The 17,150-nt window shown below is 41.1% G+C and overlaps 1 protein-coding gene and 1 pseudogene across 5 annotated transcripts in view, besides 2 other annotated features; both read right to left on the bottom strand.

Annotated features, from left to right (window-relative positions):
* The window catches only part of PLPP1 (phospholipid phosphatase 1), a 110,111-nt gene extending 97,651 nt beyond the window's left edge, over positions 1 to 12,460 (bottom strand). For all 4 annotated transcript variants that reach the window (NR_103485.2, XM_006714724.4, NM_003711.4 and 1 more), the window contains exon 1: positions 12,068 to 12,460. Coding sequence is in view for 3 of the 4 variants with exons in the window: in NM_003711.4 (NP_003702.2) it covers positions 12,068 to 12,125 (58 nt within the window). In the remaining variant the exon portion in view is untranslated. The remainder of the gene's footprint in view (positions 1 to 12,067) is intronic.
* On the bottom strand, positions 6,338 to 12,038 carry RNF138P1 (ring finger protein 138 pseudogene 1; annotated as a pseudogene). The gene has a single exon (NR_001575.1). The product of NR_001575.1 is annotated as a ring finger protein 138 pseudogene 1 (transcript).
* Positions 12,043 to 12,682: a silencer, noted in NCBI's record as "silent region_16016". NCBI's record gives its function as "represses an Ori minimal core promoter by ATAC-STARR-seq in GM12878 lymphoblastoid cells {active_cell/tissue: GM12878}" and the evidence as "EXISTENCE:reporter gene assay evidence [ECO:0000049][PMID:35858748]".
* Positions 12,913 to 12,982: an enhancer, noted in NCBI's record as "active region_22555". NCBI's record gives its function as "activates an Ori minimal core promoter by ATAC-STARR-seq in GM12878 lymphoblastoid cells {active_cell/tissue: GM12878}" and the evidence as "EXISTENCE:reporter gene assay evidence [ECO:0000049][PMID:35858748]".

Below are 17,150 nucleotides of genomic sequence, written 5' to 3' on the forward strand. Positions count from 1 at the left end.
TCCTGCCTCAGCCTCCCAATGTGCTGGGATTACAGGTATAAGCCACTGCTCCCAACTTTAAAGTGCCTCTTTTAGACAGCAGATATACTCAAAATGGTAAGCAGAAACTGACTCTGAAACTACATCATAACTAGTTAAACATAAAACTAAAATAGTTACAAAATATTTAAGCCATCTAAAATAATCATTTTGTTTTGTTTTGTTTTGTTTTGTTTTGTTTTGTTTTGTTTTGTTTTTGAGACGGAGCCTCACTCTGTCATCCAGTTTGGAGTGGCGCAATCTCGGCTCACTGCAAGCTCCACCTCCTGGGTTCACGCCATTCTCCTGCCTCAGCCTCCTGAGTAGCTGGGACTACAGGCGCCCGCCACCACGCCCAGCTAATTTTTTGTATTTTTAGTACAGACGGGGTTTCAGCGTGTTAACCAGGATGGTCTTGATCTCCTGACCTCGTGATCCACCCACGTTGGCCTCCCAAAGTGCTGGGATTATAGGCATGACCCACCACGCCAGGCCCAATAATGATTGTTTTTATAGACAATGAATTCCCACATTCTTGCCTTTCTCACCCTCTCCATATTTTTTTTACTTTTAATTTTTGTGGGTACATAGTAAATATACATACATATGGGGCACATGGGATATCTTGATAGAGGTATATAATTTATAATCATTACATCAGGGTAAATGGGGTATCTGTCACCTCAACCATTTATTCTTTGTGTTACGAACAATCCAATTATACTGTTTTCGTTATTTTTAAATGTACAATTAAATTATTATTGACTATAATCACTGCTGTACTATCAAATACTAGATCTTATTCATTCTACCTATTTTTTGTACTCATCAACCATCCCCACTTCACCCTCTCCATTTATTACAACCTTTCCCAAATACACACTAGTTAATCTGCATTCAAAAGTTATAATCCTCAAAAATGCACTTCCCAATTCCTGACTATACCATTGTTAGCCAGGTTGCCTTGGGTGAGTTTCCCAACTTTCCCAGCCCTCACTTCCGTCATCTACAGAATGCAGATGACCAAGCTCCTAAGAGAGTTGTCGAGAGACTGCACTGGCTGTACCAAGCCTAGAGAGCACTAAATAAATGTCAATTATTATTTTTATCCATTCTGGCATTTAGAAATAAAAGTTACAAAATTCACTATTAAAAATACCATTGATACATACCATATTCCAGCCACACTGGCCTCTTTTCTGTGACAAAATGCCCTTTTCTTCTTTTGCCCTCAACACCTGCTCCTCCCTATGCTTGGAATTTTCCCCCAGCTCCTCCACGGCCAACTCATTTTGTTCCTTAAATCTCAAGTCCAATACCTCTCAATTCAAATATTCCCCCTTTAGAGAGCCTTCATTGAGACTGCTATCCCCAAAAGTCTAACTTTCTTATAATCTTGCTTTAATTCTGTCATAGCTTTTACAAACATCTGTAATTGTCTTATATACACTGGTATGGAGAGCTGATCTTTTTTGCACTGGTATTTGCAGCTCCTAGCATTGTATTACAGCAAATAATGTCTGCTTAATAAATAAATAAAAAATGATGCAATGTCAAATACTTTAAAACAACATTGTGCTCACACAATTTTAAAAACAATTTGAGTTTAACATATGTCACAATGTTTGAAAAAGAGTTTAGATGCAGCAGTGTCCAATCTTTTGGCTTCCCTGGAGTACACTAGAAGAATTGTCTTGGGGCACACATAAAACACACTAACACTAACAATAGCCAATGAGCTTAAAAAAAAATTGCAAAAAAATCTTATAATGTTTTAAGAAAGTTTACAAATTTGTGTTGGACCATATTCAAAGCCATCCTGGGTTGCATGCAGCCTGTGGGCCATGGGTCGGACAAGCTTGGTTTAGGGAGAGGGAGGATATAGAGAAGTATTACACAACGGTTTTTCCTTGCTGCCTGTTTAATCGCCAAGAGCAATTCAAATAACAGAATTTATACAAATGAGGATGTATAATTAAGGTCATTCAAAAGTTTTGGGAATATTGGGCCAGGTGCAGTGGCTCACACCTGTAATCCCAGCACTTTGGGAGCCAAGACGGGTGGATCACCTGAGGTCAGGAGTTTCAGACTAGCCTGGCCAACATGGTGAAACCCCATCTCTACTAAAAATACAAAAATTAGCCCGACGTGGTGGTGGGCACCTGTAATCCCAGCTACTCAGGAGGTTGAGGCAGGAGAATCGCTTGTACCTAGAAGGCAGAGGTTGCAGTGAGCCAAGATCATGCCGTTGCATTCCAGCCTGGGCGACAAGAGTGAAACTACGTCCCCCCCCAAAAAAAAGTTTTAGGAATATTAACTCTACTTTTTTATAAGTGGAGTAATCATTCCCAAGACCTCAGCAATAAAAAGGTGACTAGAGTGTAGCTAACTCCACTTTCTGGAGTAAGCTGAAATTCAGGACTTATCACTGTATAAAATAACAGTTTTTCCATTCGTTTAATTACTCTCCACCACAGACCTACACAGATCAATTTTCACCATGGCTGGAATTACCACTACTTAGAAATCATGTATGTGGCTTTCACACATGACTAATAAAACACTAAGTTTCAAAAGCATTCCATGAGTACTCATGAGAAACATTTTAAAGTTTGTGTTTTTGTCCCTAATACAAAACTAGTTGATGTTATTTCTACTAATATAATTATTATGTTACAGGTAGTAGGATTAGAGAATTATTTTACTTGACAAACATACATCATGCATATTAAGTGCAAGGCACTTTACATATTGATTCACTTAAGTCTCATTTAAGATAACCATAGGTACTTTCATTATATAGCTAAAGAATACAGGCACAAAGAGAAAACTTTCCCAAGGTCACAGAGTTCAATGGAGGAGCTAAAATTTGAATCCACAGTCCATCACTAGACTATGCTGCCTAACATTTTAAAGAAAATACATAGACTAGTTTTTCATAGCTTATAAGGAACAAGTCATTCCCAATTTTATAATTTTTGTTTGTTTAAAAAAATAGAAATGGGGTCTCACGATGTTGCCCAGGCTGGTCTTGAACTCTGGGGCTCAAGAGATCCTCCCACCTCAGTCCCCCAAAGTGCTGGGATTACAGGCATGAGCCACCATGCCTGGCCCCCAATTTTAGACTAGTTTCAGTTGAGTAAAAAGGCAACCTACCTAAACCATTTGCACATTAAACCTAAACAGCAAGAAGACTGAAGGGAAGATGAGCAGAAGGAAGGGAAGTACAGTGGGGAGGAAGGAATGACAATGAAAAAGAAGGTAAAAGGAGAAAGAAGGATAGAAAGATGAGAATGCTACCTGTAACCACTATTCATAATCTCTGGATGGCAAATGCTTTTTTTTTTGAAAAGAAGAGACAAGACAGTATCTCTATAATCCTTAATTAGCTGATTGTACAGACTGTATGTTTCCATTTCAAATGTTGAATTAAGGCACCTAAATTAGGAGGAAGTAGACAACATTCCAAATTTCTTTCCATAAAAACTGAAATTACATGTTAATCAGTTCACTCAAAATCTGGGAGTTTAGTGACTTTTGCTGCCAACTTCTTTTTTTAAAAAAAAAAATAGGCAAACATTGACAATTTTAACCTTAAATTTCTTAACCAAAAGAATCAGAATAATTCCCCAAACTGAGTAACACATTGGAAAGTTTGGTAGAGCTCAGCCAAAAATGACTAAATGAGAAAGAGATTAACAAAGATCCATAGCACATTCTTGAGTTTCCAAAGGATGTAATTCAAAGAGAATATAAAGGAAGAATTTACATTTCATAAAATCTATAAGGGGAACGTTTTCTGAACATTTCTATATTTTATTCCAAGTAAGGTAAATTTAAGCTAAAACTCAGCTGAATAAAACCAACTAGAGCCAAATAGCAGCAATTTCCTCCAAGCCTCTGCTTTTGTTCCAAACTACCCATTTAAAGAAAGAAAAAGCCTTGCAATAGGATTCTAGACTGACCCAAGAATATGCCAGTTTGACAAATTTTTGTTCGTTTTTTGAGATTCCTTCCCTCTCTCTGTGACTAGAATAGAGAAAAACAACAACAACGACAACAAACAGAAAAACAAGTAAACTTTCATCAGAAGCAAAATAAGTTTCCTAATAGAAGTTAAATAGAAGAGGCCAGGCACGGTGGCTCACGCCTGTAATCCCAGCACTTTGGGAGGCCGAGGTGGGCGGATCACGAGGTCAGGAGATCGAGACCATCCTGGCTAACACGGTGAAACCCTGTCTCTACTAAAAATACAAAAAATTAGCTGGGCGTGGTGGCGCACATATGTAGTCCCAGCTACTTGGGAGGCTGAGGCAGGAGAATGGCGTGAACCTGGGAGGCGGAGCTTGCAGTGAGCCAAGATCGGGCCACTGTACTCCAGCCTGGGCGACAGAGCGAGATTCCATCTCAAAAAAAAAAAAAAAAAAAAAAAGTTAAATAGAAGAAACAGCAAGTGGTCAGGATAGGCACCGTGTCCTATTTGTTTACTTATTTTTATCTTCAGTGTCTAACACACTGCCCAGCACCTATGATACAGTTAACAAATGTGTACTGAATATGAGTGAATGAACAAATAAATGTTACGAGAAAAGGGAAGGCACAAAATGCTGGAAACTATTTAGCAAGTGAGAATCTTCCCAAAATACTTGTTTTTTCCCCCTTTGAGGAAGGGACCCAGATTGAGGCTTAACAAAGGGACCGCTCCTTAGGAGTATCCTTAAGGGGTAAAATGATGTCAGCATTATGGTAATAAGAAATGGCATCAGTATTTGAGATAATTACTGGGTTAAAACAAGCAACAGGGACCCCACAACCATCTAGCATTGGTTGCAAATGTTTTTGCAGCCAGATTTTACTCTATACCCATTGACTTTGATTTGGCATAATGATGATACCACATTTGGAGCATGCTGAGGGAACCATAACCCCCTCCCTCCCAAGAAAGCCAAGATGGCAGCCCATGGGCTCCTGTTTGCATTTGCCATTAAGGACACTGTAATTGGTGTTTAATGCAGAAACGGAAGCTACCTCAAATCTGTTTTAGACATAGATGGGTATTATCAGTAGGGTCCTGCCAAGAAAAGCAGCATACTCAAATGAAGTATTCAAGAAAACTTAATGAAGGAACCATTTCAAAAGGTACAGGCAGGGTTTAGGGAAAACAGCAAAAGATGGTGGTATAACTCCAGGTTAGCAACGTCAGGAAGCCATTATCATCTCCAGGTCTAAAGGGGCTAGGGAAGGGTTATTAGAACCCAGAAAGATGTGTAACTATAGATGGCTGGCAGAGAGGGCCATTATTGAATACAAGTTGTGAACTACTCACAGAACAGCTTTGGCAACACTAAATCCAGCAAGAGGGAACTAGCTTTTAGGGAGATCCTTTCTGATGTCCCTCCCACTGGGCAAAGCTAATCTGAAACCAAAAAGGAAGGGCTCAGTTGATGTACCCCATGTAATTCATTTCCCAGAAGCACAGAGCAGAGTGGAGAAAAGATCTGGAAGGGCAAATGGAACACACACAGCACAGAAAGATATTCTAAATGATTGTCAAAAACAGCAAAACACAGGTATAAGGAATCAAAGTTTTGTCAGTTCCAGCTAAATCTTCTAGATATTGTGGGACTGCCCGCAAATAAGTCATAAACATTGGTACTTACTTGGGTTCCTACTGCCCTATATCAAGTTGGAAAAGAAAAAAAAAAGCAGCAGCAGCTACGAGTAATTCCAGGTAACTTCTGACCTTTCTGCGTCTCTAAGAGTAAACAGACAAATCATTTATCTACAATGGAGCAGATCTAAGACAAGGCTCTCGTCTTTGCTCAAAGGGAACATATTCCAAACCTCCATTATCGTACTTATCATGATGTATTATAACCACTTGTTTATTTCTTCATCATTAGACTCTGAGCCCTTCAGGGCAGGGATTATCTTATTCATCTTTGTATCCCTAGTACCTAACATGGTACTGGCCACGAAGCTAGCCTTCCATCAATATGCATTGAATAAATTAATGGACTCAGTGTCCATTAATCGGCAGCCTAATGCCATAGTGGCTAAAATCTGAAATGACCCTTAGCAATTAAACACTAATAAGTTGTATTCAGGATATGGTTTAATACACTGGGCTAAAACATCGCGCCTTTTCCAAAATTAACATTTTTATTAAACCAAGTTTAAAAAATGTTCAGTGTAGAACAAAACCAAAATATACCTTTTTATACAATATATGTATATATTAGCAGCAAACTACTGAGATTCTCTTTTATGTTCTTTTAGTTATTTTAAAGAAAGCATAAACAATGTATATTAGTATGGAATGTCAGTGAATCCACTCTTAGTCCTTTATTCTGTGATTTGGGCCTTCTACAAAATACTTTATGATTCTCACTAATGAATACTAAGAACATACCCAATTTTGACTAAAAAGTAGTGAAACAGTGGTTGGTAGAATCTTTCTCACTGTATCACGGTCACACATTATATCTGAGAATAAGAAATGAGCACCATACAAACAGGTAATTGTGTGTGTGTGTAAACTCAATTTCTAAGGTGTAATAGCAGCCAACTAGATCACTTAGCACTGTGACTATCACTTTTTAAAAATCTGGTTATACACAAAATTTTAACAAATCAGATAAACACTTCAACCCCCTATTGCTTGTCCATTTAAAAAATCCTTATAGAAACTCTATATATAACCTGAAAAACTGCATACACACATACGTGTATATATACACACAAAAGTATATATATATACATATACATCTTTAGCTTTGAATAAATTTCTAAACTGAGATGAAGCCAAACCTCTCATTTATATCTTCTAGAATACAGTAATACCAACTGAAAGTTTCTAATAAGAGTTTCAACTTAGTTAATCAGAAATACTGGCTACTGAAAATTCTGAGGCCAAAGAGCTGCTATTCAGCTTAGTATATTCTAGGCTTACAAATCAGTCAAAGACTGAAATTACCAAATGCCCATGAAAGAAATAAATTTTTCTCTCTGTATTTCCTTCTAATAACAAAAAGAAAATATCTTTACAACAAGCTTTCACTTTTTAAAGAATTAAAATTATTACTAGTCTTCAAAAATAGTAAATGTTATATAAATACGATTTTCTTATAGTTGAATTTTTCAGCTAGAATCTGCATTTAAAAAATTTCCTTTGGATTTTTCCATTTAGCACTTCAAGTTTCTATTCTGCAACTCTAATAACTGGCTCAGATTTGTTAGATTATATCACATCGTTCAAAATTTGCTACTGTGTGTTTAATGTGTACAATAATAAAGTAAATGGGAGGAATGTACCAAATTTCAAAAGCAACATAATGAAAAATTCAAGAATATTTAATATTACAAAAAGATAAAGTACAACAGGGATTCTCTTTCACCATTACATTAGTGAAACATCTTTTACGCTTTTAAAGCTAATGTCATAACTTTCATTTTTTAACTTACCAAGAGGATGAAGTTTTTAGAAGCCCTACCTTTATTTTCAATCAAAAACTAAAATGACTGAATTACTTTTATTAATATACACATCAAGTTACTGAAACGGTGACTTCATGTAGTTTCCCCCTTAAAGATGGCACTTGCAGGTACAAAGATGCAGAGATGTCTACAGCCTTCAGATGTTTACTTGAAATGATTCTTCAACAGCAGTTTGACATTGAGTTTCTTCATCTAGCTGAAGATTCACAAATTCTCCATAATCAAACTGATGTCTCTGATTTAGATGACTAACGAAATTTCTGGTAATCTGGCTAGGATCTCCCCAAGGAAGAGATACACAAATAGGACATGTCACAGGAACTATCTGAAATAAGTGATTACTGTTAGAGTGATCCAGTAAACGCTCTCTGGTAAAATTTGATTCTTGACACAGGGGACACTTATAAGTAGGATGACCAGAAGAACTTGTATTCTCTTGGTAAGTTTCTGTGTTATCAGATGTGGATGTTTCACTCCTATTGCTGTTCCCTACTGAATCTTCAGAGATCTGAAAGTTTGGAATGATAGAAGAAACATCATATTCATCCTGATACTTCTTACAAGATTTGCAATGAAGTCTCATGCGATAGAATTTAATCTGTTTTGCACAGCATCTGCAGCTACCAGAAAACTTCCTCATTATATTTTCAAGGTCTAAGGCCCGTTCAGGGCATGCTCTCTCTTCTAGTCACATTTCCACGACACAGGGGACAATGTGCTCCGCTTTCCCTCATTGCAGTCAGGAAACATTTTCTACAGAAAACGTGCTGACAGGGCGCGGTCCGCACGGGCGTTTTGAGCACCTCCTGACAGACGGGGCAGTAGGATGTGGCCGCGGAGAGGTCCTCAGCCATGGCGGGGGATGGGGGAACAAGGCGATGGTGACAGCGGCAGCGGCCCCGATGGTGACATGGTGACAGCGGCAGCGGCCGAGGTGACGGTGACGGCCCGGGGCTCGATGCCCTACAACAACATCGCGCCTTTCATACCAGCCTACCACCATTCTCTGTAGAGCTTTTCTCATGCGCTCAGATAATGTATATGGCCTGTTCTATAGTCACAGAACCAGTCATAAAAAGAGCCAAAGACAGATGGCAAGACTATGTTCCATTTCAGAAAGGAATCAAATATACATTATCTCTCAAAATTCTCATTCTTTTTCCAAGAATTTACCATATCCACTTGAGGAACTAACACACAGGACTTCTCAAAATTCTCCTTCTTTTTCCAAGGATTTATCAGATCCACTTAAGGAACTAATAATTCAAACGTGTATATAGAGGAAGTCGTGTTTCACACTGATGATAAAGATGACATACGGACAGAAACATATACACACACATGCACACAGGCATGTTTAATGATCACTTCAACACACATCACCCACAGTAAAATTATAAAGTAGTTGTACAACAGGTTGACGTAACATCATCATATTAAAATGGCTATACTGTATGATGTTGAGGTGGTCATTAACAGAATCTGGAATGTATCCACATTATAATTATGAACCACTTTCACAAAACCCTGCACTTATGAAGTGCTTAATCATCTTTTTGTTCTAACAGTCAATTCTTACCTGTGGATTCCTCACAGAAAAAGGAAATTTATGCCAGGTTGAAAACTCTCTTGAAGCTACCATGATTTTAGGCTACCAATCTCCTGCTGTCAGTAAAATGAATACAAATCAAATTTAATATAACAGACTCCACCAGAAAGGCGCATTTGCTATATAACACGTGTCTTCCAAAAGTAAGCGTGAAAAGTTTTGTATCTCCTGCACCACTGGTCTCCTTCACTGCTGTTTGCAATGGACAGTTGATGTTGTTAAATGTAATGTAATCTTACATTTTTAAAAGTCAGTAAAATAGGTCACTTTCTATTTAGGAAAAGGGAATTCTGAGCTTATAGTGATAATATGCTGAATTACTTTAAAAGAAATGCCAGTAATACCAAAACATAATGTTGTAAATAGATTAAATGCCTTTTCCTAAAACAAGTCCTCAAAGCTTTCTCCAAAACCACCAAAAACACAATTTTATCTTATTGACAGCTATTGTACTCCTGCAACTGTCAGGTCAATGTAGCAATGAAATTAACCTTTATAGGATAATTATGTGATGTTTGTATCATGTTAAAACTACAGGCTACAACAACCCATAATTTATAAAATTGTACTGCATGTCAGTTCCTCCATTATATGTGATTTTTTTTTTAATTGCAGATCTACCATATGGCTTTGTGTTTAATACCATTAGCTTCAGCTACCTCAGAGCAGTATTATGTTTCAGCCATTCTAATCACTGTTTGGCCCATAGAAAAAAATTTATGTTGTTTTACAAATTGATCGAACTCCCACAGTAGGAAAAGACAAAGATGATATGTAATTCTGATAGTGCACAATATGTGGCAATGATAGGATAATATTCAATATATTAGAAATATATTTTTTTCTGATCGAACATTTTCCTCTCCTTTCACTAAAATATAAACAAAGTTTAACAAAGTTCCAATGACATCAAGTATAAGTTAAAATATATTTTTTAATGTAACATTTCTATGAAAGGTAATTTTTTGTTGCAAATAAATTTGAATATATTTAATTATTAATAAGTCCCGACATCTGAAAGGACTGTGTTTTTATAAAGACAGTGTTCAGTTGGGCGCGGTGGTTGACGCCTGTAATCCCAGCACTTTGGGAGGCCAAGGCGGGTGGATCACAAGGTCAAGAGTTCAAGGCCAGCCTGGCCAAGACGGTGAAACCCCGTCTCTACTAAAAATACGAAAGTTAGCCGGGCATGGTGGTATGTGCTTGTAATCCCAGCTACTCAGGAGGCTGAGGCAGAGAACTGCTTGAACCCGGGAAGCGGAGGTTGCAGTGAGCCAAGATCGCGCCACTGCACTCCAGCCTGGGCGACAGAGCAAGACCGTCTCCAAAAAAAAAAAAAAAAAGACAATGTGCCAAAATTGTGTTCCACTTTCCTAAACTTAATTCCTAAAACTCACTGTGGACCTAAACAGGAAGTGTCTTGGGAAACAACAAAGATGCTTCATATTAACAGGTAACAAAATGCAGTTTTAGGGCCCAGCGCTGTGGCTCACACCTGTAATCCCAACACTTTGGGAGGCTGAGACAGGCGGATCACCTGAGGTCAGGAGTTCGAGACCAGCCTGGCCAACATGGAGAAACCCTGTCTCTACTAAAAACAGAAAAATTAGCCAGGCATGGTGGCGGTGCCTGTAATCCCAGCTACTAGAGAGGCCAAGACAGGATAATCACTTGGACCCAGGCGGCAGAGGCTGCAGTGAGCCGAGATCCCGCCACTGCACTCCAGCCTGGGTGACAGAGAGAGACTGTATCCAAAAAAAAAAAAAAAAGATAACAAAATGGAATTTTTCCTTACAACAACAACAAAACCTGGTAACAGAATTTATAAGAATTCCACAAGATTGCAAGGGCCTAAATGACCCGGTTGGAAACTGGAGAGTGGAATAACTAGGAACTACTGGATTAAAACCGAGGGAATCTCCTGTCACTGAGAAACCATTACGCAGACTTCCATCCAGGTGGCTAAAGCCACAGATCTCCCACCCTGAGAACTTGCCAATACTACTACTATTCTGATTACTTCAACATGAGTAGGACTATCCAAACCTCCAGCAGCTCTTGCTTTGTTTTTGTTTATTCCATCATATATAAATAGTTCACAGCATAACTGCCTTATACAATACATAAAAAGTGAAAACTACTCCTTCCAACGCCCATCCCTTATCCAAATGATTCCAGTTCTTTCTCTTCAAAAGAAAGGAGTAACTGGCAACCAGAAGCCTCATAACTGAACTCTTCCAATCAGGAAGACAATGCGAAATCTGCTGCAGCCAAAGAATGTCTACTGCTCCTTGAGACACTGTCACAAGAGATGGAAAGCTACACCATGGCAAGGTCTGGGCAGACAAGGAAACAGGTCTGGGGTACCGCATCCTCCCCCACCCCCAAAACTTCTTTAGACCTATACGCAAAAACTTGGCGTGCTCATCCCTACTTGCAACCTGACAATTTACAACCTGGCACACCTTCTAATTAGGAACTAGTTCTAGCCTTTTATAGCCGAAATATTAAACTGCTTCTCACGATAAATCAGGCACTGGCGCCTGCTACTGAGAATCCCCTGTGCATCAAACCTCCAGTTTCACTACTGAGATGGGCCAGTGACCAGGCTCCTCTACCGTACAGAGGGGAGGAGCCCACCCTGCTCTGCTAGAGTGGAACTGCAAACAGAGGACAGGAGCAAGGTATGGAGCGCAGAGGCGTGAACAGCGTCCAAGCAGGGCTGGGCTCATCGCACCGGCGGGCGACAGACAGCGGCGGGCACGCGGGAGCCGGGGTGCAGGCTGCAAAGCGGGGTCCCTCGGCTGCAGAAGCCGCCCCCGTGTGTCGCCCCACAGCTGCGCACGCGTCAGGCAACACACCCCCGCTGCCCGTCGCGGCTCTGCGCTAAAGCCCTCCCGGGACAGCCGCACACGCCCCTCGGACCCGGCGGCGCGTACGTACCCAGCAACACGCAGAGCACATCGAGGGCCACGTACGGCAGCCGCGTCTTGTCAAACATGGTCTCTGCCCGGGCTGCCCGGCAAGGGCGATGGACTGAGCTGCGGGACGGCGGCCGAGGCCCTTGATTCTCGAGCCCGGGCCGGGGCTGGCGACGGCCCCGAGCTACGGCCCCTCCCAGCCGGAGGAGGAGAGCAGCCGAGGGCGGGCTGAGACCGGGCGGCGCTCCCACCGCCAGCAATGGCGCCCGGGGCCCTCCCCTCACAGCCCCCGCGAACACTCGGTTAGTGCCGAGGCGCTCGTGTGCCAGCCGCGGCAGCTCTGTAGCCTCAGGACCTCCTCAGCCGGCACGGCCTGCCCCGGTTGCTCCCCGTCCGGATCCCGGCGCTCTCTCCCACAGGCGGGGCGTCCAGACTCTCGCTTTAAGGATGGGGACCGGCAGGGAGGAGGAACGCGGGGTCCAGCCCCTCCCGCTGAGCAGCGCAGGACCGGGCAGCGCGCGGGTTCGCGGGCGGGGGGAGTGCAGCAGGGGCGGGGCCAGGGAAACCCCAGGCCGCGGCGGTCAGCCAATCAGCGCCGTCGGCCTCATCCCTCCCGACCTGCGGCATCCGCCCAGAAGTGCGGCTCTCGGCAGCCGGGCGGGGCGTGGGGGCGGCTCCCGTTCCGATCCAGGGGGCTTTGCTCTGGACCGCAATTGCTCAGGTGGTCTCCGAACTCGGCCTCGGTACCCCCACTAGGCATTGCTGCTTTCAGAGAGCTAGGCTCCCTACCCAACGATCCTAGAGCACCGGCTGCCTGCCACTCCCCACCCCTTCCATGGGGATGAGGTAATAAACAGGTCAGATTGTTACCACTGAGTTTAAGGGGGGAAAAGAGGTCAGAGTAGGCAGGAACAGAGACGCTCTCCTTTAGTTTGGTACCTCTGAGCCCTTTCTCACTTAGGCCTCAACGTTGACCTCCCTGTGTCCTGGCTGAGCCCAAATGTTAGCAAGAAGCATGCTAAATCATCCATCCTCGATACCTGATCACCGTTGAATTCTTGATATTTAATATCGGATTAGATTCCTTATATTACACCTTTGTTGTAGAAGCCCTTGACCTGCCTTTAGCCAGAATCCCTCTACCCTTGATGTCTCCTCTTAGTAATTTTCCATCCACCGTCACCTCCCTCACAGACACGGTGCCTGTTCCTTGGCTATAAATCCCCTGCTGTCTTTGCTGTATTCTGAGTTGAGCTCAATTTCTCTCTCCTGTTCCAATAGTCATGACCCTTATTGTAATAATCTTGAATAAATTATTCATGTGTTTGACAAGTGTCAGGATAATTTTCTTTAACAGCAGCAAGCACTCCCCCTGCCCCATACCCAGGAGGACCCTAGCCCACATTTAGTAATCTCAGTTTCCTAATATGTAAAATGGGGATTTTTTAAATAAATACCTAATACTCAGACATCACAAGTACTTTGAATTTATTGTGACCTTGCAATCTGAGGCCCTTGTAACTCTGGAAGTAAAGAAAGCCACATGATAAACAATGGCCCATCTTTCTCAGGTGTAAATTGCTTAAAGCTTTTACAGCTTTAAGCTGCCCAGTGTTCCAGTCTGGAGGAAGAAGTGAAACCCAGAAAAGATTATATGATAGTGGCTTTATCTAGAGTTAAACCGTCTACAGATGTTAATGATTGGTATATTTTCTCTTTAAATATGTAAAACACAAATCACAAAATGTGCCTACTACTTCTTCGACTTATCCTGCAAAGCACTCATAAAGCCAATGGAAAGATAACATTAAACAGAGTCTGGAGATACAGCCCCAAGTAAGCTCTCAAAAACAAAATATACATTTGAAGAAAGATGTTTTTCTTTAAAACGAATGCTAATGTTTTATTTTGCCTCTTGTTTAAATAGCCGTAAAAGCTTTAAGCAATTTACACCTGAGAAAGATGTGCCATTGTTTATCATGTAGCTTTCTTTACTTCCAGAGTTACAAGGGCCTCAGATTGCAAGGTCACAATAAATTCAAAGTACTTGTGATGTCTGAGTATTAGGTATTTATTCAAAAAACATTTGTTGAGCACCTATTGTGTTACAGTCTAGTCTCAGTGTCTTAAACAGCTTTTGAAATATTTACTTTTTAAAAGTAATTTTTAAAAACATTTACTTTTTAAAAATTTTTTATTTTTACTTTTTGTGGGTACATAATAGGTGTATATATTTTGGGGTAATGAGATGTTTTGATACACGTATGCAATGTGTAATAATTACATCATGGAAAATGAGGTATCCATCCTCTCAAGCATTTATCCTTTGTATTACAAACAATTCAATTATACTCTTTTAGTTATTTTAAAATGTACAATTTAATTATTAACTATAGTGACCCTGTTGTACTATCAAGTACTAGATCTTATTCTTTCTATTTAAAAAAAAAATTTACTCTTAAAGTGCGTTTTCAAAAATAAGCATTCAAAAAAACCTTACTGATTAGTGATTTTTTGTTTATTCACACATTCATTAATTCAACATTTATTGAGCCCCTAATGGATACCTGGTACACATCTGTGAAGAAGCTAAAATAAACAAGAGAAGTTCTCTGCCCACAAGGGGAATCCTGAGGCCCACTTAGAAAGCATGTGATTAGGGCTGGGCACGGTGGCTCACGCCTGTAATCCCAGCACTTTTGGAGGCCGAGGCGGGTGGATTACGAGGTCAAGAGATCGAGACCATCCTGGCCAACATGGTGAAACTCCGTCTCTACTAAAAATACAAAACTTAGCTGGGCATGGTGGCACGTGCCTGTAGTCCCAGCTACATGGAGGCTGAGGCAAGAGAATCGCTGGAATCCAGGAAGCGGAGGTTGCAGTGAGCCGGGATCATGCCACTGCACTCTAGCCAGCCTGGCAACAGAGCTAGACTCTGTCTCAAATAAATAAATAAATAAATAAATAAATAAATAAATAAATAAAATAGATTAATAAACCAAAGCCCATTAAAATGCATTGTCATTTCCTGTTATTTTAAATGGGACTTGTGCCATGTGCAGATTATAAGCAATTAATAAGGCCAGGCACGGTGGCTCACTCCTGTAATCCTAGCAATATTTGGGAGGCTGAGGCGGTCGGATCACTTGAGGTCAGGAGTTTGAAACCAGCCTGGCCAACATGATGAAACCCTGTCTCTATGAAAAATACCAAAAAGTAGGCTGGGCGCTGTGGCTCGCGCCTGTAATCCCAGCATTTTGGGAGGCCGAGGCAGGCAGATCACCTGAGGTGGGAGTTCGAGACCAGCCTGACCAACAAGAGAAACCCTGTCTCTAATAAAAATGCAAAGATTAGCCAGGCCTGGTGGCACATGACTGTAATCCCAGCTATTTGAGAGGCTGAGGCAGGAAAATCACTTGAACCCGGGAGGCAGAGGTTGCGGTAAGCCAAGATTGCGCCATTGCACTCCAGCCTGGGCAACAAGAGTGAAACTCCATCTCAAAAAAAAAAAAGAAAAATACAAAAAAGTTAGCCAGGCATGGTGGCAGGCACCTGTAATCCCAGCTACTCGGGAGGCTGAGGCAGGAGAATCGCTGGAACCCAGGAGGCGGAGGTTGCAGTGAGCCAAGATCGCACCACTGCATTCCAGCCTGGGTGACAGAGGGAGACTCTGTCTCAAAAAAAAAAAAAAAAACAATTAATAAGCCCTTATTTGTGGAAAGAATGACTATGACACATCATTTTGTTTTGGAATGGGGAGCTTTCATTCCTTTTTGGGGGAATTTTTTTGTTTGACTGTTTTGGTTTGTTGTCATAATTGAATTCTGGTGTGATCATTGGAATTGAGAATGAGTTAAATAACTTTGAAATGGTGATGAAAATAATTTAAAAAGGAAACACGAATTAAATGGTAACACCATTAATACCCCCGGGGGAGGGGGGCAGCTATGAGTGTGTCCCTGGACTGAACATGAAACCTCAGAAGCGAGAGCACTGACTCCATTTCTCTGGAGTTTGTGCATCCCAGAAAAAAATACTTTAAAAAAATAAAGAAAGAAACCTCAGAGGCTTGCATAAATGCTTAACAAAGTTTGTCCTTGGGCCAAACTTTTCTCCCTGTAATACAGGCATCAAACAAAAGCAAAGTAGGGTGGGCTTCCGAAGAACAGTCCTGAAGCTCCCTGAAGAAGAAAGAAGCTAATTTCCTCTCTTCTGTCATTACTAAACTTCTTGAAAAGGAATCTGCAATTTACATGCTGCATTTCCACTTTCTCTTTCGATACCTCTGCATGCTCAATTCTGTCCCCACTCCTCTACTTGCACTGCTCTTTAACATAATATTATTGGTAAGTCTCCCTCTCTCCATTCTAACAGCACTTACTGTCTCAGCAACTTATTTATTTCAAAAATTGTCTGCAAAGTAATAAGACTCAATTCCCTTAGGATATTTGTGTTTCCATGTGTTTATGTTCTTTCTCCCCAAATTGACTGAAGCAAATACAGTTTCTATTATACTCAAATAGCACTGTGAAACTAAAATAACTAAAAATGTCGATGTCTGGTTCCCCAGTACATGTGCTCCAAAAAGAAAATTTCACAGGATGGTGTATTTTAATCCTTTTTACACTTTTTGTCAAAGCCATTTGCTTCATACCTTATTAAAGTTTTTAATCGGCCGACCACGGTGGCTCAACGCCTGTAATCCCGATACTTTGGGAGGCCGAGGCGGGCCAAGATGGTGAAACCCCATCTCTACCAAAAATACAAAAATTAGCGGATGTGGTGGCACGCGCCTGTAATCCCAGCTACTTGGGAAGCTGAGGCAGGAGAATCACTTGAACTCGGGAGACGGAGGTTGCAGTGAGCCGAGGTGGTGCCACTGCACTCCAGCCTGGGCGACAAAGCGAGACTCCATCTCAAAAAATAAATAAATAAAAATAAAAATAAAATAAAAATTTTAATCATGTAATGTTTGATACATAAATATATAACATATAAATAAGTTATGAAAGGCCAGGCGTGGTGGCTCACGCCTGTAATCCCAGCACTGTGGGAGGCCGAGGCAGGCAGATCATTTGAGGTCAGGAGTTCGAGAGCAGCCTGAG

This window comes from Homo sapiens, chromosome 5 (assembly GCF_000001405.40).
Source record: "Homo sapiens chromosome 5, GRCh38.p14 Primary Assembly".
Lineage (NCBI taxonomy): Eukaryota > Metazoa > Chordata > Mammalia > Primates > Hominidae > Homo > Homo sapiens.